Source organism: Homo sapiens, chromosome 4, assembly GCF_000001405.40.
Source record: "Homo sapiens chromosome 4, GRCh38.p14 Primary Assembly".
Classification (NCBI taxonomy): Eukaryota; Metazoa; Chordata; class Mammalia; order Primates; family Hominidae; genus Homo; species Homo sapiens.
Window position 1 is genome coordinate 171,572,518 of NC_000004.12, and position 25,006 is coordinate 171,597,523.

At 37.9% G+C, this 25,006-nt stretch overlaps 1 long non-coding RNA gene across 1 annotated transcript in view, besides 1 other annotated feature; it reads left to right on the top strand.

Moving 5' to 3' along the window:
- Positions 1-14,471, top strand: part of LOC105377535 (uncharacterized) — a 92,939-nt gene extending 78,468 nt beyond the window's left edge. The window contains exon 5 of the long non-coding RNA XR_939444.2: positions 14,352-14,471. This is a non-coding gene — a long non-coding RNA (uncharacterized LOC105377535). The remainder of the gene's footprint in view (positions 1-14,351) is intronic.
- Positions 11,497-11,616: a silencer, noted in NCBI's record as "silent region_15801". NCBI's record gives its function as "represses an Ori minimal core promoter by ATAC-STARR-seq in GM12878 lymphoblastoid cells {active_cell/tissue: GM12878}" and the evidence as "EXISTENCE:reporter gene assay evidence [ECO:0000049][PMID:35858748]".
- Positions 14,472-25,006: the final 10,535 nt, after the last annotated feature.

The following is a 25,006-nucleotide window of genomic DNA, read 5'->3' on the forward strand; positions in this document are numbered from 1 at the left end:
TGGAGCCCCAACAGCAGCAGACTCTTGAGGCCATGAACCTTGCCATGGCATGGGCCCAGCCTCTGGGATCAATGAAGCTAGCCAGCCTTATGGAACTGCTAGTCTCAGTGACTCCTACTCATATAGATTGGAGCCTATAGCAATGAGATACTGCTACCAAAATGACTTGACCTATCAAACATGTAAATTATTTGAGGCAGCTCCTAGGTACAACTTCTTCAAATGGCAACCACTAGCCTGCTGTTGGGCCCTAATGAAAACAGAGCAACATATGTCACCTAAAGACCTGAGCAACTTATCCTCATGTGGGTATTCACAAATTTCACTAATAGTGTAAAATAGGCTCAGCAAAGCTCCATCATTAAATGAAAATAACACATCCAAAATAATGTTAGACCAAGGCCTCAGTGAGTCAGCCAACTCCATGAATATGTAGCCGCCTCACTGGAGGAGGTCAAAATACCCATAGGAGATACCCCTGTCCCTCTGTTAGCTAAATGAATCCCACAGTTTAAAAATGTTCCAGCTGATAATATGGCTTGGTTCATGGATGGATATATGAAATTCAAAGCTGATGGAGACCACTGGGCCACTGCAGCCCCTGCCCCAAGGATGGTCATATTTTGACTGAGACCAGATGAGATGTTCTGCTGAATGGGCCAAGTCCATGTAGTACTGATGGCTGTACTGGCTACTCCAACAGCAAATTCCTGCTACATATTTATAGACTCATGGGTCATTGAAAATGGGCTAGCCATATGGTCCAATGACTGATGAATTAATAAGTGGACCATTAAAGGCGCTCCTGTTTAGGAACGGGGACTATGATAGCAACTTTTGAACTGCAAGAGATATTTATTTACCACTCATGTGATACCCATGTCATGCCACCCATGACAAAGGACCATTCAAAAGAAAACACAAATGGAATTTACAAGCTGATCTAGCATGCCTTCAACAAATTTTAATAATTGCCCATTGGATTCACCACAAAGTGGGACATGGAAGCCCAACTCAGATGCAAGAATGAGCCAAATGGGAGGACTGACCCTCAAAAAAACAACCCCCCAAAATGCAGCACACTCATATGACTCCCACCAACAAGCCCAGGCTATACAATGCAGCTAATTGAGCCATATTCACTGGACAGGGGACCCATGTAAGTGTGACAAATTGACCACATCAGACCATTAGTTTCCAGCCATGATTTCTGGTGGTGCCTTATGGCCATGAACACATACTTCAGATGTGGGACTGCCATTTCAAGGCACCATGTAAATGCAAAAACTATTATTGTGACAAAAAAAAAAAACCCCACCTCAGCCATGTTTGGATATCTAACAAAACTTCAGTATGACTGAGACACTGCATTTGCTGCAGAAGCTGTGCAGCAGTGTGCACGCTCCCATGGCATTGGATGGAACCCCAGGAGAATGGAGTGTTAGCATGATGGAATGAGAGGCTCAACTACACAAAGATCTTCAGGAAAAATAATTTAGCAGAAGACATCCCCATCTAAAAAAGGCATTTGGAAATTAAACACTGCACTCCAGCATGGGAAACATGGCATTGCAACACATGTTAAGAAATACTGAGCTTAGAGGGCACAAAGGGCCAGGTAGTGGGATAATTAGGCTATGCCTGTGAAATCCCAATTTTAGTACACCACCATTCTTTCATTGTTTCTTCTGAAACATACTCCTCAAGGGTGGCTTGTGATCTAGGCTGTAGTGATGCACCAATAGGGCTTTCTGATTCAAACCTGGAGGCAACACTACCTTCGGGCATCTCCCTCCTGTGGTGCCCCACAGGAATGAGGAAGGGGTAAAAATATATGGACATGCTGTGTTTTCTTGGTTGTACTTGGTACTCTTGATCCCTCAATTTAGGCATGTGACATTACAGGATATGTCAAATTTGATCAGGGCGTAACCTTCCTTCTTGGATTAGACAACTAAGGCCAAACTATATGGGTCAAGGGACAGAAACAATGGGTCTTCACAGAAGCTGTAACCTCACGACTATGGCAGGTAGCTTGGGTAGCTACATTTGGGCAATCCTCACTCTAGGTTATTAGATAAGAGCATCTTCCACTTTAGGAGGTTTGTAAAGCAAAAGGTGAGTGGGAACATTAATTTTTTTTTTCATTTCTCCAGAAGACACTGTGGTGCCTGGCACAAAAACACCCTGAAAAGAACCAGGACAGCTGTGGTGAAAAGATGCAATGTGCAATCTTAAATAATGCTAGATTCGTCACCCCAGACTGGAGTCGCCTTATCCCACACTCCCATTGTAATGGGCTGGCTGGTACACAACAACTCAGACCCTTTTCAAATCAGTCAAGACAAACAGGACCCACTAAACTCACCAGTCAAGGTGGTGAACAACCTAATGGTTCTAAATTGCCCGTTGTCTGTTGATGGAATGAAACAATGTTTGTGTTACTGCCAATACCTCTTACTGTGTGTATGTTAACATTTTGGGGAAGGTAAAAACTGGGCTGGAAAAGACCTAAGCCCAAGCAGGATGCTTATCAGCTGTACACCTGCAGTCCCCACTAGACTCAATTATTTACCTCTTTATAGTCATCCTAAGCCTAACACTTGGATTTCCTGGTTGAAGACCATTTTCCAGGGAGACCTGGTTATCTTCCTGGGTCTGGTTCTCCTAGTGACCCTGGTAAAATGCTGTCTCAAAATGACAGGGAAGCTCTGAGAACAAATGTACACATATGAGTTGTATGGGGTCCACATTTATTTAGCTCTGCCTCCAAATTTGGGTTGGGCAATGGTTCTACCAGAGTTGATGTCTTTTATCTGTTATTTTGGTGGCTGAGTAATAGTCAATGGGGGTGGACTATTATAAAAGTCACTCATATGCATGTAGTCTTCATACAGTGCCTTGGTCACTTAAGAATGGGTCTCAGAGCTGGAACCTTTCTATTCAAGAGACAAAGAGCCCTCACAGCCTTCACTAGACTTATCGTTTTGTGTAGAAATACTTTTCTCTTTTCTGGATTCAATGTGTTCTCTTTTGTCCTCTTAAAGTGAGAGCATCATATGGCACCTGGCCAACCTCAGTTCTATACTCACTCCCAGCAAAGAGGTGTTGAAGTAAACAGAGGCGAAATAAAATTTAAAAGAGTTTGAGCAAATAATGAATCATTCATTGGCCAGCTTCAAACCAGAAGTTGTTTAGAAACCCCACCAAGGGAATGAAAGGAGCAGCTTTTACAGAAGAAACACAGAAGTAAAGCAGAGAAAGAACTTTATTGCTTATAGTCATACAACTGACTTATTCGGTCTATGCCTTTGGAAATACCTTAATTATATAATTTTAAGTTTGCTACTTCTGATAAGTTGAGTTGAAGTTCTGTTTTTCTTCAATATAGATATTTACAAGAAATAGCTGAAATTAAGTTTTGCTTATGTTTGGAAATCAAGCAAGTTTGAGGTCACTTATGAGACCTAACTATTTTTGTCTGCATAGAGATTCTTCAGGCCTGGTCTCCATTTTAATTTACTTTAACAATGCTCCATTTTGGTTATCTTCTCAACAAGCAAATAGTATAGTGTTATGCACAGTTATCGCTATTGATAGACTCTCTGGAATGAAGAGTCATATAGATATTTTCATCATCAACAATTGCATTGTGATGTAAGGTCATATAGTGACCAATATCTATGTCATAGGCTTGAGTGGTTGAGTTGTTGAGCTCTTCAATTTGTCTAAACTAATGACAATCATTTGATGTGTAAGTGGTTGCTGGAAAGCATTTAAAAATATGTTTCAAAGCCCTTGAGGAAATACAACGCAACAGGGAGGTGAATACAATGACTTTAAGGAGAATAATAGCCAAATATTGAAAAATTCTCTGAAATAGGGATTGACAGGAGCCAAAGTTTAACCAATTAAATAAATCAATGGAAGAGGCGGCACCTATCTGATGAAAGATATATTTGCTCCTTAAAAGGCTTTACATTTAGGGAAACAATTTCTAATTTATTAACATAGAAACAACATTTTTATCAATAAGAGCACAAGCTTCTCTTTCTTAAGCTCTTAGGCATTAAAGGCTTCTATTTTGGAGTACTACTGAGGCTAAATTGTACATTACAGGTATTGCCTGGAGGAAATTCAAAGTATCATCCTATGAAAACAAACAATAAACAAATTTTTATATTTGGAGAAAGGTTTGATCTTAATTTTTGATTTCAGAGGACAGCTAGTCAAGATTTCTAGATCTGAGTTTGAAGCATCTTTAGATTGTGAAATGACAATTACAGTGGCAATCTGATGTATTTTCCTGGTTTGCAGTTTTGAATGTCTCTGGATATGTCATTTGGTGTTTTAATGAACTCTCAGAGTAAACAATATACCAGTAGGCATGAAGGATGTCCACACATAATATGTTGTACTGATTTTTATGAGGTTTAAAGTCTTCCAGTTTCAGCTTGCCAGGCTTGGGAAAAGAGCAGTTTTAGTTTTTTGTTAAACTAGAAAAATGTAGGATTCAATTCAGTTTACAGTTGGATAAGAAAACCTCAAAGAAAATGAACAGGACCAGAATCTGATCATGGGTGCATTATAGTTTTCTATTAAAACATAATCTCCTTTTTTCAGTGGTTTCTATTTTTGTCAAAAGTAATTACAAAATAAATCTACTTTTATCTAACTTGAGTATTTATATATGTAACAAGAATAATAATGTCATGTATATTTTAAAATAAGATATTTTAGCTGGAGCTTTGTTAGTATCCAAGGGTTTTTATTGACTTAGTATCAGTCAGCCTTAATTTTTTAAAACTAGCTGGTAATGAGGAATCTTTGGTTGGACTTTTAAAAAGCTCCATGGGCTAAGAAGCTAAGGCAAGAACTAACCCAATTATGTCCTATTACAAGGAAAATAGATTCTAATTGAACTTATGGATATTCTCATATTGCCATAAAAATGAGAATATTCCTACATACTTTTCTTTTTTTTTTTTTTTTGAGACGGAGTCTCGGTCTGTCGCCCAGGCTGGAGTGCAGTGGCGCAATCTCGGCTCACTGCAAGCTCCGCCCCCTGGGTTCGCGCCATTCTCCTGCCTCAGCCTCCCGAGTAGCTGGCACTACAGGTGCCCGCCACCACGCCTGGCTAAATTTTTGTATTTTTAGTAGAGACAGGGTTTCACCGTGTTAGCCAGGATGGTCTCGATCTCCTGACCACGGGATCCGCCCACCTCGGCCTCCTAAAGTGCTGGGATTACAGGCTTGAGCCACCGCGCCCGGCCCATACTTTTCTTATTGATGCAGGATTTTTCTCCTTCACTTTGCCAGCCAGGGACCTCCATTTGGTGATGCTCCCTGCCTGGGCCTCTCTTAGGCATGCTACCTCCTGTGGGAGGAAGCCAGCCAACACAGCCCACATGGGACATGCCTGGATTGTGCACCGGTGCAGCCTGTGGCTAGGCCGGGCATGCCCCCGCCTGCCTGTGTCATAGCTTGTACCCACATTCGGCAGTTCCCGAGTTATTTTCCCACATCCAAGAAGAATGAAGATACACTGACAATTGAAGAGTGAGGAGGGCAGAGAATAATTTTATTGAGTGACGGAGCAGCTCTCAGTAGACAGGGGTCATGGGGTGGTCCTCCACCCAAAATGAGGTGGTTTCCCTTTCAGTGTAGCTGAATCTGAGGCTTTTATAGGCACAGAATGGGAAGGGGCAGGTCACTGGTAGCACTGGAAAAGGTAATATTTGATTGGTTAAAAAGCACTATTCAGGAAGAACTAATCCGGAAAGAGTGGGCAAACAGGAATAGAATTTCTCACTCCAGGTCACAGGTTTCAGGCTGTTTTTGGCTTAAAGGTGGGGTTTCACTGGGGACCTTCTCCTGTCTGCCTAGAATTTGTCTGCCTCTTGCCTCTATCTATCTCCCATCTGAAGAGGTACATCTAACTGCCATTAGGATAAGGACAATGGCCAATCTTAACTGTTTCCTGTTGACAAGGGGCACTATTTGGGGAAAACAGCAGTCAGAGGCCTATCTAAGGGTTCCTGGTAAAAGTCAGCCATCATCTGAGGCTCCAGTTGCATGACCTTTTGGAGTTTGATGGCCTGAAGGCAAGAAGAGACAAACCAGATTATTAGAAGCATGGATCAAAGTGAAACAAAAAAGTAAGGACAGCTCAAAACCCCTGAGGCTGCCAAAAAGCCCAGATAACTGGTGGCTATTGTTATGTCTACTAAGATCTGGGTGCATGGTGTTTGGCTTTGGTTAGCTTCCTTGCTTTTATTTTCCCCAAAAAGAAACCTCTTCGTTATGTGCAACCTATTTATTCTTATCAACTCGCAGGATTTGCAGGATGATTGCCTGGAAGTAGAATATTGATACAGATTTTTACATTACCCATCTCTCTTGTTCCTTCTGAGCTGCAACCAGAGATCACTGGTTGGTTGACAGGAATAAGCAGGGTTAGTCCAAAATGTAGACAAAAACTTGAAGACAACTAATGAAACTAGAATTTAATGACAAGTGTATAAGTTTTGAAACATAACTTTTCTCTCTCCAGTCCTCATTTGTCTGAAAAACAAATCATGATAAGGCTGAGTTGTTTGCAAAATAAACTTTAATTTTATACTGGGCCTGATTATTTGCATAAAGTGCAGCAAGAATAATTATTTTCACATAGGATTTTAAAAACTGGCTTAGATGGAACCCTGTTCTATAAGGAATCTCAGATAAGACTTTTTTAAGCCGAACCCAGCCATGGGTTTGTACCCACAAATACCTATGAGTTGGGAAAATTCCTGTCTTATTGAGGTCTCAAGAAAACTTGGGGTTCCTGGGCCTATTAGAAAGTGACATTCTTTACTCATCACAGGTTGGGAACTCTGTACAGGGACTGTGTAGACAAGGTATGAGGCCATTTTTCCCATGAGGCTTTTATTGGCTCTGCAAGTCAAGCTTGATTTCTTAAAGGGAAAGATGACCTTCTAGTCAAAACCTTGGTGAAACAACCAGTTTTTCCAATTGCATCCTGTTGTAAAAGAAATGGATTCTTACTGCAATTTGCAAATAATTATATTGCCATAAGTTAAGAATATTCAGAAGCAGCTTCCAAATTTTGAAGAGACCAGGCAGAGAGAAACAAATATGCTCCAAGTTTTGTTCACAGGAATATATCTTATTCAAATATTAAAAGCTATAAATAGCTCAAAATAAAAGTTTTTCTGACTTTGAAAAACAAAGGATCAGCAACATTTTAAGCAAAAAGTTAAAAAGAATTACTTCAGTTTTCTGTTAGTTCATATTATTCCATTAACTCTTGTTCTACTTGATATTCATGAACATTTCAGCTCTTCATGAGTCCTGTACATTTTCCTCTATTCCAATGTCACAATCTTAAAAATTATCAGAAATCTGAACTTAAGAGCACCTGTCAAAGTCCCATAGCTAATTAGAAACCATCTTTTGAAAAGGATCAAAACAAGATAGCAATTGTCTGTGAATGATAAAAATTTCCAGGGTAGTTATAGATAAAAACAAAATTGACAAAGAAAGTTGGTTATTTCTGCAGTTTATAATAATTTAACATAATAACTCTAATTATGATTGATAGCATATATTCAGACATCAGAATTTTCAAAATCTCATATGATTTTTGAACATATATTATTATTCACTAAAATATAACCTGAAGAAGGTTAAACATTAGTTTTATTTTGGCTCTCCCATGTAACTAAACAGGTTAAATAATCCTGTTTATCTCTATTTTGAATGTTTCAGGGCCCTCTGAGGCATCCAAACATTAGTGGTCAGAAAAGACAATTTAAAAGCTGAAACTTGATTTTGGGAAGCCTATTAAATATTTTAAAGGTTTAAAAACACTTTGATATTATAAAAAATAATTCAAAGTTACCTTAAGTAACTTATTTCGTCAAGATGATGACTCCAAGTTTTATTTAAAAGGCATCAACCTTTACTCATTAAGAGGGAAGACAGCTTTCCAAACAACGTCTCTTTTATTTCCCTTCTTTTTTCAGTAGTTTATTTGCAAGGCAAACAAAAATATTCCATTATCCTTTAATATTACATGAAAATCTCATTCAAGAGAGGGAAAACCAAATTTCACCCTCACATTAGTCTACTATAAATGTCAACTACAGTTTTTTTAATGAAATATAATAGATAATTCTATCCAATCTTAATCTGTTTGTCCATGAGGTGAGATTCTTATAAACCTTTTATAACCCTTTATAAATTTTTTTAAGACCAGATTAATGCCTTAAGAAAACCTTGTTTGTTTTTATTACAATGCTTAGTGTATGAAAAAAACAAATAATAATACCTTTTTGAACTTAGTCAATATGTTAATACACGAGTTTATTTTACAAGATTAATTTTTACAAACCTTCCACAACTTGTTTAAACCTTTAGTTTTATCTCATTTAATTTAAAACAGTCCTTTAACCATCTAAACTAGGCAAAAATTTTACATTTCCATGCCTTCTTATAATCTTTTACTAATAACACATCTTACTTTCCTTAAATACCTTGCATGCAATCTCTTTTCAGTAATCTCCATTATATGTTATAATGATAACTCTTAGCAATTTTTAATTTTAATGTAAAACCTGGTAAGTTGTTTTAATTCTGTACTAGGCACAGATAAAGTCTGACTGTTTCCAGCATAGTCAGGGATGTGGTTAACTCCATGTGTCCCCAGGCCTTACCAAACAGTAAAGCAGGCAAGTCGAACAATTTTCAAAAGCTGAAGAAAGAAGCAGTTTATGAGCTTAAAGCATTTAGTAAACTTAGTATTTGACCTGCATAATTTAGACCATGTATTTACATGTTGAAGACATTTGTATTTTACCAATAATCTTTAAAACTGCTTTTTATTTCTCAAAAGATTAAAGTCATGTGAACTAAAAGACATTGCAGCTTTTATTTTTCCTTTAAAAATATTTGATCTAAGTGCTTATTTTCTTTAAGTCAATCAATTAGAGCTCTTGTTTATAAAAACATCACATATATAACACATATGTAACTACACAGACAGACAGAAAAAGATGCAGTAGTTGTAAGACTTCTTACTTGCCAATCTCCTAATTGGACTACTGGCCTCTGTGTGGAGCCCTTGAAGAAACATGGCTAAAAAACCCATGCAGTTTCTAGGGCCTAATAAGCAGATATAGCTGGAGGACAAAAACAGATTTTGAGAGGGATTTATCCACTTTTAGTTCTTGGGGCTCCATGAAGAAAACAGAGTTTTTTTTTTCCTAAAATGGGGTCCATGATGGGTTCTGTTTTTCCCATGTGGTCCTACGCTATCAGAAGCTATCTTAGGACCTCTCTTGCATGCATTAAGATTGGAAAGACAAAATGGAGAAAAATAATTCAGTTGACTGAGAAGAAAAAGAGTTTTTCCAACAAAACAAGATCCAAGAAGAGAAAAAAAGACATAAAGGCTTTTTAAATATACCTATAGCTTGGCTATTCACTCTTAATTAAGATTACTTTTAACCATAGAGCTCTTTAAAAAAAATCCTTTTAAATCCTTTATAACCTGACTTTAGCCACACCAAGTAGGCAATATTTCTGGCTTTTGAACTTTATCAAAAGTAACCTCACCAGTGAAACCAAGGAGCCTCAAAATAAGGAGATGACTTAACTGCAAGTGTATGAGGTATTTTCAAAGAAGTGATAAGCAGTTTTTACAAAATCTAGAATCTTGAAAAGTAGCTCAGAGAAAGGAAGATTTAAGAAAGAAAGCTAGATATTGTTCATGGAGGGGAAAAGAATGAGCAAATGGTAAAAGTCCCATAGATATTAACCAGAAAGTACTCACTACTTAAACCAGGTTTGAACCCAGGCTGCCATTGTAAAATGGCAGAGATCAAAAGAAAGTAGAGCCACGTAGTTTTAAGGTCAAGCTCCCAAGGACATACAAGACAAGAGGGAAACTTCGTTCAGCTTTTTGTTTGTAGCAAAGTTTGTTACTGACCAATTTGCTGGGCTGACTTGAACAGTGGGCTTATAGGGTCCTAGGCCCATGTTCTATACTAAGGTATTCCTCCTTATGACAGAACCATACAGAAAGACACACAAAGCACACCAGATTGGCTACAGTTTAAGACTAGCCTCACAAATCCTTTTTTTCCATTAATCAAAAACTTTACAGAGGATATAAACAGTGATTTTTGCCATTCATTCAAATCTCTCAGTTTGCACAAACAGCGAGAGAGAGAAGCCGGAAGTCTGACTAGTAAAAAACTTTTACCCCTTTGCTGGCATGTCAGGATTCTGGGATCTCTCCCCCGAAGCTATGGAGCCCTTTTGACTCTGGAGTCCTGTAAAGGGGGAGCAAAAAAGACATTATCTGCATATTGTAAAAGTTGTCCCTCCTGAAGAGAATGTTCAGTTAAATTGGTAATTCTTTCCCAGTTCATTTTTAAGCCAGTTTAAGGTTTGGGGAAATTAAGCTTTTCCTGATTTAGGGGATGCTTCCTAGGGGAGTGTCCTGTGGTACAGAGATGCGATTTCTCTGTGAAGAGAGGACAGAGGAGGAAATACGAAAAAGAAGGCTTAAAAAAAAAAAGTCCCAGTGATTCATGATGCATTCAAGAGAAATACAGACTGAAGATGGTTGGTTACCCAACTGGAAAGAGGAAGAAAGGCATCCCTTACTTTCTTTCTGTTCCCAGCGAACACCCAGGGTAGGTGAGGGAGAGGAAATAAAAAGCTTCCCCTTTTTTTCTTCTGTCCTTCTATCCCTGAGTTCTGGCAATGCTTGGCAGGTGCCACCCATGGGTGCCAATGCAGCCTTCACCCATGTAACAGGGATGCCTAAAGGGTAGAAATATTTGCACTCACCTCTGTTCTGGTCTATCCTCCCTGCCATCAGTAACCTTTGAGTTCTCTAGACCTCATCTATGCTATGAATATGGGCAGGACCTTCGTCCATGAAATGGAGGGAGTGTAACTGGAAGGAATTAGTCATGCTTATCTGCCCTGTGCCCTTAGACTTCTGCTGTTTTCCTTTCTAGGGCTTCAACCTGAAGCTTGGAATTGAGTTTGGGACAAAAAGTTACCTAAGGAAGGTGCATGGACTCACTAAGTTAAGTCTCAAGTGGTCCTTGCCAAACTGCAGCCAGTATTCAGCGGTGCTACTCCTTCACTGCTTTCTTATCATAAACAGTGTGCTAAGGTGAAGTTGTGGAAACAGGTCTTCCTCAAAGGAGGGAGAGAAAGAAAGTCCTATGAATTGGAGACCTCGTCTAGTCAGGTGCCTCCCAAAATCAGCAAAAAAACCCTCACACATAGAAAAGCTCCCTGTATTTTATTTGCAGGGCTATGTGAACTCTTGACATCATGGAGAAAAAAAAATATGAAACAGCTTAAGTGCAGGGAAGGGATAGGTGCCTTGGGGCAAAAAGCCTATTGCTGTATGCAAATGGTTTCCTTCAACAGGGGGAAAAAAACCTCTTAATTGCTACATCCTCTCCACTTCTAAGAATAAACAGAAACTGCATTGTTCTGAATCACATTTTAGATGACTGGGCCAACTGCCTATCCTACCCAGTAATGTATCTGTAGCCTGCAATGACACCCTCAACATTATAAAAAAAGAGATAGGTGCCATCACAGCCCCCAAAGAAAGAAGGAAACTGCCATAGAAAAGACTAAATTGGAACAAAGCCAATATTCCCAACCCTTGAGAGCAACAGGGGCAGTGGCAGGGTCCTCTCCAGCACCCTGTCTTCTGTAGCTGTGTGTTCACTCTTAACTGGCTAATCAGAGGTTCAGTGCTTCATCAGCCTTCAGAAAAAGTCTGAGGACAAGAAGGCTTGGAAAAAAAGTGAAGAGTCTAGGTCCACATTTACTCACCCTTCAGGGATCCCAGATGAGTGCCCAGAAATGACACAGGATTTTTCTCAGTCACTTTGCTAGCCAGACACCCCCAACTGAGGCCTTGCTTGGGCACACTACCTGCTGCAGGAGGCAGCCCACACACTCAGCCTTCCCAGGCCATGCCTGGTTTGCACACTGGCTCAGCCTGCACCTGGGCCAGGCATACCCCTACCCACCTGTGTTATAGCTTGTACACACATTTGGTAGTTCCCAAGTTGTTGTTCCATATCCAAGAAGAATGAGGACACACTGATAATTGAAGAGTGAGAAGGGCAGAGAATAATTTTATTGGGTGACAGAGCAGCTCTCAGTGGTGAGGGGACACAAGGGTGGTCCTCCACCGAAGTCAGGTGGTTTCTCTCAATGTGTCTGAGTCCAGGGCTTTTATAGGCACAGAATGGGGATGAGTGGGCCATAGGTGGCATTGGAAAAGATACCATTTGATGGGTTAAAAAGCGTTTCTCAGGAAGAACCAGTTGGGAAAGAGTGGGCAAATGGAAACAGAAGTCCTCACTCCAGGTTGTGGGTTTCAGACTGTTTTTTGGCTTGAAGATGGAGTTTCACCAGGGACCCACTTCTGTCTGCCTAGGATTTGTCTGCCTCCTGCCTCTATCATTATTAAATGAACATCCTACTTTTTAATGCATATTTATATACAGTTTTATTTCTTGCATCCTTATTACTGATCATTTTAATTGTATATATTAATTAAAATTTTTAATCCTTAGTAACTCCAATATCTAGTGAAAATAAGGAAGTATATGATTTCACTGTTTCAATAGCATGTGGCTCCTCATAGTTTAGGACATGCTTACCAGCAGACTCAAATATCTCTAGTTCTTCTTTAAAATAAGCCAAAAATATGTAAAGTTAATATTATCTTCAGAAATTAACATTTAGTTTTGTTTTAAGACAGTATTGCTGTGTTGCTCAGGCTGGTCTCGATCTCCTGGCCTCAAGTAGTCTTCCATGTTCATTGGCTTTTCAAATAGCTGGGATTATAGGTCCAAGCCAACATGCCCAGCCAAAAATTAATGCTTTTATACTTAATCTTATTTGGAGATAATATAGATACTTAATAAATATCTATTATTTAATTTAACAAAGTATAGTTTTAAGATTTTAAGTTATCAAACAGATTTTTAAAACTGTTTTTATATAGACATAACATTAAACAAAACTGTCATCTCAAGTTACTTTTCTTGTTGATACATTTTGTGACAAAGGTAACAAGCTTATTTGATTAGTAAAGCTGTGTATCTTTGTGACAAAGAAAACAAGCCTATTTGACTAGTAAAATATTTTACTAAATTAACCAACATTCTTATTTATTAAAGATTACTTAAGTCATGAACTTGAAAAGCATTTGGATAAGTACCTTTTTTTCTGAGAAAATAATTTATATAAATGCTCATTTTTTCCTTAGTCCAATTAAATATAGCTCTTTCAAGATTATTTGTAATAATACCATCTGAGGGTGGAATACTATTACAAATAAGTAAATAATATACATATATTAAGACATACATAAGCATACAAACAAACACAAACAGACAGTCATGGCTTCTATGCTGAAATTTTAGCTATGTGCCAGGTACAATAATGTACTTACTCACTAGCTAGATCCAAATTGTGTCTCTGGTAGTTATATTGGCCTGTTTAGATGGCTAACGCCTTCTATTGATATTTGTGGAAGAAACTTTTTAGATTTTTCATTTGCTAGTTAAGTTCTTAAAAGTTTCCCTTTTTCTACTCAGTTTCTGACAAGTCATTTCCCTGAGGCCTTTTAATGATTTAGACATCTCAAAGGCAGAGAGAAAGGATGTTAAGTATTCTCCAGGAAGGAGTTCTGGGCATATTCGCTTATCATCAGGAGTCAATTTATTGAGACTGTGGGCTAAATTTTAGATGAATGACTGAGGAGACATCCAGTCTCTTTCCAATTAGTTTTTTTTTTCCTCTTTACCTTAAGCAGTTGCTTTTATAATAGGTTGGATTTATATGCAAGATTAAGAGTTAAAAGTTGTGTTTGCAGATTCTTCTGTCTTATTTGAAGATCTAATTTTTAAAGAAAGTTGATGTTAAAGATTAAGGTTAATTTTTCATTACACACTGTAAAGATTCTTTTAGAGAAACTAATTTTTCGAGTCATTCTGGGTTTTGGAAGCTTCTACATACCAATCAAAAAATGTATCTCATTGTTTCTGAGGTTTTGGGGGTCCTTTTTTTCTAATGCACCCATACAAAAATAATTTCATAAGGAGTAAAACCTCTTCCTTGTTGCTACTGTAATTCCTTGTCTTCCTGAGGTACACCAATTTCTTTAGAAAGACCTAGGTCTGGGTCCAAGACTTCTGAACATAAAATTAGCTGGAGTTCCAGATTAAAGTGTCCTAGACTCCTTGGATTCTGATGAACCGATAATACTTTGCCTTAAATTTTGCTTATCACAGGTCTCCAACTGAACCGAGTCCAGTTCCTGCTGAACACAATTTGACTTCTGGATGGCAGTCTGGATTCTGAACCTCGCCCTTCTAACATGGAAGCACATGCACTAGACTGGACCTTGTCCAGTTTTGTCAGGCCCAGTCTAACCTCTAAAATAAAAATTGCTCAAATAAAGTTAGAGAGCTAAGGACACAATTTTCAGATCTTGACATCCAAGAAGGACGTACCCAGTGACCACCAAATGTGATGAGAAAGCAGTGAGCACTATGGGCTCAGCAGATACTTATACCTGGTTACTCATCCCTCCTGGGGGTCATCAGGGATCCCTTTTACATTTCTGAAATTAAACTTTTAAAAGATAAATTGAGGCACTATAAAATTTTAAAGAGTTTATTTGAGGAAGCATTCATTCATGCATCAGGCAGCTTCACATCAGAAGTGGTTTAGCAGCTCCACCAGTGGCACACGGCAGGGAAGCTTTTAAAGGAGAAACACAGAGGTAAAGCAGAGAAAATGTTTGGTTGGTTTAGTGACACAGTTGCCTTATTTGGACTAGTCCAGTGGAAAATCCGTAGTTATATAATTATAAGTATGTTGGCCACTTCTGCTTGGTGGAGATTAAATTTGATTTTTCCTTAATATAGACATTTACATGACATAACTCCAGTTAAGTTTTGCATATGTTTGGAAATCAGGTAAGGTTGAGATCACTTATGAGACTTAACTGTTTTTGTCTGCTCAAGGATTCTGCAGGCCAGGTCTCCACTGTAATTTACTTTAACAAAGGAAATGGAATATGTTGCCTGCAGCAAAGGAGAGGAATAAGTGGAAGTCATTTGCCTGCATCAGCTGAGAAGTGAGATCCGCTGGCCATGAGGAATCAATGCTATTGAAGCTTCTCTTTCTCTGTCTCTTTTATTTGTGAGTAAAACATTGTTCGTCCAGTGCCTGAGATGTCTTTCTTGGTGACTCTGATACCTGAAAATCATGGAAGAGAGTGACATCCTGGAACTACTGCTTCTGGTGGTAGGCACTGATACTCTCTATCCTCCACGCAGTGAGACCCCTCCCTTGGAGGTGGTAATAGGTGTCACTTGCTGGACAGCCTTCAATTAAACAACAGTCATCTTTAGGTGTTTTATAATCCCCTTATCGCTGAACTTCATATGATATCCTAATTTACAGTTTGGTCAACCCTGCTGGTTTCTGCAAATGTATTGGCAGTGCTTATTCCACGGAGTAGACAAACAGATGATAGAAAATAGAGTGATAGCAGAACCATCCAATTTAAAACGCCAATTGAAAGAGAAAGTCTCTCCCAGTTGAAGCAATGTTAATTGAACAGGGGCTCCCTCTGATGAAAGCTCTTGACAGAGGACAATCTTGCTATTAATTTTCCATGGTCTTTTCTGTAATGTTTTTCAGCTTCTCCCAGTAGAATGGATCTAACAACTGTAATCTGAAACCTTTCTCTCCCAATGAACACAGTGAAAAACAAAAACAGTCATGAGGCAAATATGCGTATAAGAGAAAATTGCTTTTGAAGTGGTAACATGTTGTATAATTCCTCTCCAACCTGTGGCAGCCAGTACAATTTTGACTGTAGAGCAGAGTATAAATCATTTCTTTTTATATTTAAAGAAATAAAAATGTACTATATATGGCTCTAAAATGGTAAAGATTGAAAGAAAATGTGAAAAGTACTGAACCCCTCAAGGGATACTCTGTGTTTGAAATTCTAACACAGAGATTCTAACCCATTCATCTCTTATGAAAGAAAATAATCCCAAATCACACAGGAAAACTGTCAGTGCTGTCGAATATCAATGAGCAACTCATCATCAATCATCAACATTTTATCTCTCAGGAAGGTTCTGAAAACTATCCAAAATATCGTTGAATAACCCCAAGGCTACCGCAAATACTTAATGAGATCTTTGAGGAATCTTTTGAAATTTTGTTTTTAACGTTTAACATCTTCGTTGTTTCACTTGCTCTCGCCACAGTTCTTTACAGACTCTTGTGACTTTAATAATCTTCTTTATTATTTCAGAGCACAGTGGAAATGAAGACAGGCTTTGTACATGATTTATAAAGTGTGTATCACTATAGCAACCATACTGTAATTCTGAAAACAGGCATCTTTATAAGAAACTCGATGACTATAATGAGAAATGACCACAAATGGCAGTATAGTTTATTTTTTAGCTTATTCTGTTTTGCATGATTGCCTGATTTTATTTATATTGTCAAGTAGTCTACTAATTTCTATACTTTCACTAATAGTAGATTCAGTATGAGTCTGCCAATTTTATGTGAATTCATGTAGAAAAATTGGTTCAATTTTTCTGAGAAACTCCTATCTAGCAAACTTAAGTACTCTAAACAAAACTCAGTGCAAAGAGATAAAATCTTCAGTTTTAATTTTTTCCCAAGACAATTCCCAAATGTTACAAATTAAAGGATTCTTAGCATTATGAAAGTAAATCAGCCAGAGTGTTGGTTACGTTGTTCAACAGCAAAGGAATGTTATTACCTCAGTGACTGAAGTTGGCAAGAATACTCTTGCAAATATGTTAAGCAGGCAATAAGGTATCAAACAACAGCTGAGCCTCACCTAGGTAGCAGGACAGAAGCAAGTTATCTGGTATACAGATTTCTAGGTAGACATAGAATTCAGGACTTCAGTTCTTCATTGTTAAATAAACATTCATTAAATAGACAATTATTGCACATATACCAGGCAGATACAAGAGAATACAGATAATACAACAATGCGGAGATGAATGAGGTCCCTGTATTACAGGGAGCTTATGGTTTGGTGGAATACAAAGCATTAAACAATCATTTAAAAATATTATCTCATTAACTTTGTTGTAAGTGACATGAAGAAAAAGTGCAAAATGGAATGATGGTATATTGGGTCTTGAACAAATCTAACATTTTACATGTGTCAATACTAAAATAAACAGTAGGAATCTATTATTGTTTTCCTATTGTTTTTTTTTTCAATGAATAAGAAGGAAAATCAATGATTTTGACTTCTGGTAGCTTTCTAGGTGTATGATTTATAAATAGCTACCTGAAGTTTATCATAGTAAGCTAATTCAATTGTTTTTAAAATAGAAAAAAATTTAGCAAACCACATGATATGATGGCTGTGTTTTGTTCTTTAGTTTGTGGAGTGGATCAGTTGTAATAATTGATTCTAGTGGAATATTTACATTTATCTCTGTGTGCTCTATTGTTTGCACATATTTTCACCAGCTTTTCTATCTATGCACAATGTTCTTCTTTCTAAAATTTGTATCCAAAACTTATATCTTCTAGATTAATCAAAATACTATCTCATCAATGGGGCCTCTCTTTTCAATGACCTATCATATGATATTTAAAGCAACACTCGTTAAAATTTTCTGAATAATTAAAATATATGCTCACTGTAGAAAATATGAAAATCACAAAAGTACCAAGTACATTACCTTATCTAAAGAAGCCATCAATCAATAATTATGTGAGTTTGTGTTTGCATGTGTGCATAGTGAGAGACTGCCTCAATTACACCATACTGCATGATAGTTTCAAATTTAGTTTAATTATTTTTCATTGAAAAATAATTGTATATATTAATAGGGTACAATGTGAAGGTTCAATGCATGTACACATTGTGGAATAATTTAAATCAAGCTAATTAACATATCCATCACATCAAATACTTATTATTTATTTGTGATGAGAAGATTTAAAATCTAAAAAAAGAATATTAAAATTACTTATTTAAAATAGCAATTTTGAAATAAGTAATATATCACTGTTAACTACAGTCACCATGCTGTGCAACAAATCACTAAAAATTATTTCCTCTGTCCAACTGAAACTTTGTACCCTTTGACCAACGTTTCCTCTTTTCCTGTCCAATTCCCCCACAACACCAGCCTCTGGTAACTACCATTCTACTCATGGCTTCTGTGAGTTTGGCTTTTTCGGTTTTACATATAAATGAGATCATGCAATGCTTGTCTTTCTGTGCCTGGCTTATTTCCCTTGGCATAGTGTTCTTCAGATTCATCCATGTTGTGCCAATTGACATAATTTTCTTTTTTTTAAATGCTGAATAGTATTTAGTGGAATTGTATTCAACTGTATCCCAATATGTCACATTATCTTTATCCATTCATCCATTGGTGGACTCAGGTTGCTTCCAGATCTCAGGTATTCTGAATAATGCTGCAGTGAACATGGGAGTGCAGGTATTGCTTCTCACTGAATTCAATTCCTTTGGATATATAACCGGAAGTGTGATTGCTGTATCATATGGTAGTTCTATTTTTATTTTTAGGTATGTTTCACCAATACCTAGTTTATTGAGAGTTTTTAACATAAAGGAAGGTTGAAATTTATCAAAGCCCTTTTCTGCATCTATTGAGACAATCATGTGGTTTTTGGTTTTAGGTCTGTTTATGTGATGAATTATGTTTACTGATTTGCATATGCTGAACCAGTTTTGCATCCTGGGGTGAAGCTGATTTGTTCATGGTGGATAAGCTTTTTGATGTGCTGCTGGAGTTGTTTTGCTAGCATTTTATTGAGGGTATTTGAATTGATGTCTATCAGGGATATTGGTCTGTAGTTTTCTTTTTTTTCCTTCTTTCTTTCTTTTTTTTTTTTTTTTTTTGCATCTCTGCAAGGTTTTGGCATCAGGATAATGCTGGTCTCATAAAATGAGTTTGGGAATATTCTCTCCTTTTTAATTGTTTGGAATAGTTTCAGAATGGTACCAACTCCCTTTGTACCTCTGATAGAATTCAGATGTAAATTCATCTGGACCTGGGCTTTTTTTTGGTTGGTAGGCTATTTCTTACTGCCTCAATTTCAGAACTTGTTATTGGTCTATTCAGGGGTTCAGCTTCTTCCTGGTTCAGTCTTGGGAGAGTGTATGTGTCCAGGAATTTATTCATTACTTCTAGATGCTCTAGTTTATTTGCACAGAGGTGTTTATAGTATTGTCTGATGGTAGTTTGTATTTCTGTGGGGACAGGGGTGATATCCCCCTTATGATTTTTTATTGTGTCTATTTGATTCTTCCTTCTTTTCTTCTTTATTAGTCTAGCTAGCAGTCTAATTAATTTTTTTCAAAAAACAGCTCCTGGATTCATTTATTTTTTGAAGTGTTTTTTGTGTCTCTCTCCCCTTCAGTTCCACTCTGATCTTGGTTATTTCTTGCCTTCTGCTAACTTTGAAGTTTCTTTACTCTTGGTTCTCTAGTTCTTTTAGTTGTGGAGTTAAGGTGTCAATTGGAGATCTTTCTAGCTTTTTAATGTGGGCATTTAGTGCTATAAATTTCCCTCTTAACACTGCTTTAGCTATGTGGTACATTGTCTCTTTTTTCTCATTGGTTTCAAAGAACTTCTTGATTTCTATCTTAATTTTGTTATTTACCCAGGAGTCATTCAGGAGCAGGTTGTTCAACTTCCATGTAGTTGTGTGGTTTTGAGTGAGTTTGTTAATCTTGAATTCTAATTTGATTGTGCTGTGGTCTGAGAGACTGTTTGTTATGATTTTAGTTCTTTTGCATTTGCTGAGGAGTGTTTTACTTCCAATTATGTGATAGATTTTAGACTAAGTGCCTTGTGTTGCTGAGAAGAATATATATTCTGTTGTTTTTATGTGGAGAATTCTGTAGATATCTACCAGGTCCACTTGATCCAGTGCTGAGTTGAAGTCCTGAATATCCTTAGTAATTTTCTGTCTCAATGGTCTAGTATTGACAGTGGGATGTTAAAGTCTCCCATTATTATTGTGTGGGAGTTTAAGTCTCTTTGTAGGTCTCTAAGAACTTGTTTGATGAATCTGAGTCCTCCTGTATGGGGTTGCATATATTTACAATAGTTAACTTTTCATGTTGAATTTATTCCTTTACCATTATGTAATGCTCTTTTTTGACTTTTTTGATCTCTGTTGTTTTAAAGTCTGTTTTGTCAGAAACTAGGATTGCAACCCTTGCTTTTTCCTGCTTCTCATTGCTTGGTAAATTTTCCTTCATCCCTTTATTTTGACCCTATGTGTGTCTTTGCATGTGAGATGGGTCTTTTGAATACAGCACACCAATAGATCTTGACTCTTTATCCAGCTTGCCATTCTGTTTCTTTTAATTGGGGCATTTAGCACATTTACATATAAGGTTAATATTGTTATGTGTGAGTTTGATCCTGTCCTCATGATGCTAGCTGGTTATTTTGCAGACTTGTTTATGTAGTTGTTTCATAGTTTCATTGGTCTTTGTACTTTACTGTGTTTTTGTAGTGGCTAGTAATAGTTTTTCCTTCTATATTTCATGCTTCTTTCAGGAATTCTTGCAAGGCAGGCCTGGTGGAAATGAATTCCCTCAGCATTTGCTTGTCTGAAGAGGATTTTATTTCTCTTTTGCTGATGAAGCTTAGTTTGTCTGGATATAAGATTTGGGTTAAAAATTATTTCCTTTGAGAATGTTGACTATTGGTTCCCAATCTCTTCTGGCTTATAGGGTGTCTGCTGAGAGGTCCACTGTTAGTCTGATGGGCTTCCCTTTGTAGGTGTCCTGGCCTTTCTCTCCGGCTGCCCTTAACATTATTTCCTTCCTTTTGACCTTGGAGAATCTGATGAGTATGTGTCTTGGGGTTGATCTTCTCATGGAATATCTTAATGGATTCTCTGAATTTCCTGAATTTGAATGTTGGCCTGTCTTGTTAAGTTGGGGAAGTTCTCCTGGATGATATCTTGATGTATGTTTTCCAACTTGGTTCCATTCTTTCTGTCTCTTTCAGGTAACCTAATCAGTCATAAGTTTAGTCTTTTTACATAATCCCATATTTCTCAGAGGTTTTGTTCCTTCTCTTCCTCTAATCTTGTCTGCATGTCTTATTTCAGGAATACAGTCTTCAAGCTCTTAAATTCTTTTCTCCACTTAGTCTATTCAGCTATTGATAATTGTGTTTTCATCATGAAGGTCTTCTGTTGTGTTTTTCAGCTCCATCAGGTTATTTATGTTCCTCTCTAAACTGGTTATCCTGGTAAATGGCTCCTATAATGTTTTAGCATGGTTCTTAGCATCTTTGCATTGGGTTAGAACATGCTCCTTTAGCTTAGCAAAGTTTGTTATTACCTACCTTCTGGAGACTACTTCTGACAATTCATCCATCTCAGCATCTGCCCAGTTCTGTGCCCTTGCTGGAGAGGTATTGCAATCATTTGGAGAAGAGGCACTCTGGCTTTTTGAGTTTTTAGTGTTTTTGCATTGATTTTTTTCTCATCTTTGTGAGTTTATCTAGCTTTAATCTTTGAGGCTGCTGGCCTTTGGATGGGGTTTTTGGGGAGACATTTTGTTGATACTGTTGCTGTTGTTGCTTTCTGTTAGTTCGTTTTTCTTTTAACAGTCAGGCTTTTCTGTAGGGCTGCTGCAGTTTGCTGGGGGTCTTCTACAGACCCTTTTTGCCTGGGTTCCTCCTGCACCTGGACGTGTCACCAGTGGAGGCTACAGAACAGTAAAGATGGCAGCCTGCCCCTTCCTCTGGGATCTCCATCCCAGAGGGGCACTTACCTGATACCAGTGGGAACGCTCCTCTATAAGGTGTCTGGTGACCCCTGTTGGGGGTGGTGGTTATCACCAAGTCAGAAAGCATGAGATCCAGGACACACTTAAGGAAGCACTCTGGCTGCCCCTTGGCGGAGGGAGCATCCTGCACTGGGAGGAATCCCACTTATCTGGACTGCCCCGATTCCTCAGAGTCAGCAGGGAGATAGAATAAATCTGCTCATTCACAAAGACCACAGCTGCCCTTCCCCACCAGGGACTCAGTCCCAGGGAGATCATAGTTCTGTTCCTAAACTCCTGGCTGAAGTTGCTTAAACTCCTTCAGGGAGGCCCTGCCTGGTGAGGAGGGATGGGTCAGGGTCCAGCCTAAAGAGGCAGTCTGGCCATGGTCTGCCACAGCTGCTATGCTGTTCTGTGGGGAATTCTTCCTGGGTCCAAACTATCCAGGCTCCCTGGCAGCAGCAGGGGAAAAAGGGAAGACTAGAGCTGCAGTGATGGTTGCCATCCCTCCCTTGGGAGGACAGTTGTCTTAGGCAGCAGGCAACCACAATGATGATAGCCACCCCTCATCCTGGGAACTCAGTAGCCTGAGGCAGTTTCCAGCCAAGTGGCTGATGAGAATCTGCACATCTCTGTGCTTGGGACCCAAGTCCCTGCTGGCATGGGCTCACGAGGAGGATCTCCTGATCCTTAGGTTGCACAGATACGTGGAAAAAGTGTGGTTTCCAGGGCAGAGTAGCACAATCACTCAGCCTTCCTTGGCTGGGGTTGGGAGCTCCCTTTCCCCCATGTGGCTCCTAGGTGGGCCATCACACCACCCTACTGTTCTTCACTCTTCATGGGTCATGGCAAACACCTAGTCAGTCCCAATGAGAGAACCTGGATACCTTGCTGGTGCAGGATTTACTTGCCATTTACATTCTTCTCAGTGAGAGCCTCCAGCCGTAGCTGTTCCTAGTCCCTAACTCCTTTTGATTTTTGTAGACATTCTTCACTCAGAATATGCCTGACCAATAAAGAAGAATCTGAGTATTCATGAGCCAATTCAGTGAGGACTTCAGCCTGAAGTCTTCTCAGGCTTCATTAAAAGTAATAGCCACACTGCCGTATAGACATCACTAGCTAGTCGCATAGCCTATTCAGATATGCATGGCTTATATACCATCCAGAGGAATAGCTGCGACTCATCAGTATTGAGTATTTATTTCTCAAAATAAATAACCCCAACAAGGGGGTATATGTGTTTGTTTCAGTAGAAAGTCCTCAGCTAGATTCACATTTATATTGGATCTTGTAGAGGTGAGCTTCTAAGAATTCTTTGAGTTATCATTTAGGGTGAATTGACGAGGGAGTACATCTCCCCAGTATCCCTGAAGCTCAAGGAGAAGTCACAAATCCATTCGTAAAGCCTTCCCTTCTACTATCCAAACCTTCAGCTGACCTTGAATACATTCTTTCTCATTGTAATGACAGTCCAAGTATGTCAACTATGCATACGAAGGAAATATAGGTCAACTAGCTATCTTTCTAAAATTTCTAAAAAGTTTTCATACTTAATATATTTCACTTCCTAAGTATGATCTCTTAACAAAAAGACAAATTAAAGAAAATCATTTTTTAATTTAGGCTGCCCTCATGAAGATACTACCTTTGTCTAGTGATATTAGCTAATTTCAACTTTAGTCATTGTCTTAATAAGGTCACAATTAGCTATAAAACTATGTTCAAAAAATAATGGCTAAGGTCATGTCATTTTAATATTAAAACATAGGCAATATATTTAGCTTAGAGATCAAAATTCAAAATACTCAATTAAATATTCAAATTAAAATTTATTTGAGTAAAAATACCCAACTAAATACTACATATAGTTTTGGCCATTATTCTGGTGCCCAAATGAGAAGTGAGACACATTTCAGACACCATTTATTTTAATTAATAAGAATCTATTTATAAATGTAAAAATACTGCTAAGGACTTCTGATAAATTTAAGGTTTTGTTGTCAGTTTTTTATAAAACCTATTATTCAGAGGTTTACGACTGCTGTAAAAATTGACTCGAACAATTTAGCACTAAGAGAAATTATTTCTAAATACCATTCTAAAATATAATATCTGACTATTCTGAAAAAAAAAAACTTCAAGGAGAGAAAGGGGGATGGAAAGAGGACAAACAATATTACTTTTTATATTTAACATTTTAAACAAACATGGTTTACACCAAGTGCAGCATGTTTAAAGACATTTAGAAGCTATTCTATTTATCTATTATTGTGTAACAAAACTATGCTAAAATGTTTGCTTCAAGAAACAAGGATTTATTCTATCTCATTATATTGTGGGTCAGGAATACTGATGTGACTCAGCTGGATACAGATGCAGTCCCATGGTGGATATTCAGAATACCATGTTGCTGACTGAGGTCTTTTCCTGGTATCAGGTGGCTGAGCTGATCTGGAAAGTCCAAGCTGCTCCATTCACATTTCTCAGGGCTTGGCAGTTCCGGCTGGAAGGAAAATTCAGCACAGACACCTCCTACCTGTCTCTGTATTCTTAGGCATTTCCATGTGATCTATCCAGTATGGTAGTCACATATCTTATGGTAATTCAGGGCACCTTAAGCAAGTGTCCCAAGACATCCAGGCAGAGGATTCAAGACTTCTTTTGACCCAGCCTTGGAAGTTCCTAAACTCACTCCCCAACATGCACTTGGTCAAGCAAGTCAGCAAGACCAGCTCAGATTCAGAAAAAAACAAAATTAGACTTCTCTAAGTCAAAGGAGTAGCAAATAATTGTGGCCATTTTTAATCTTCAACCAAAAGCTCCTATGTTACTGGTGTAATCTTAGAAAACATCAGACTGTAAGTCAGGTGACTTGTTTATTCGAAACTCTTTGATGAACTAGCTTTATGACACTTATGTTATATGACCTCTCTAGTTTTAAATTTACTTATCTGTATTATAAAATGCCTGGATTAGAGTTGCAAAATATCTTCCTAATTTTAATACTGGATCACTAAATTATATTCTTTTCATTTAAAAAATAATTCACTAACTTTTTAATTTCTACTTTTGTATAATCTCTTTCAT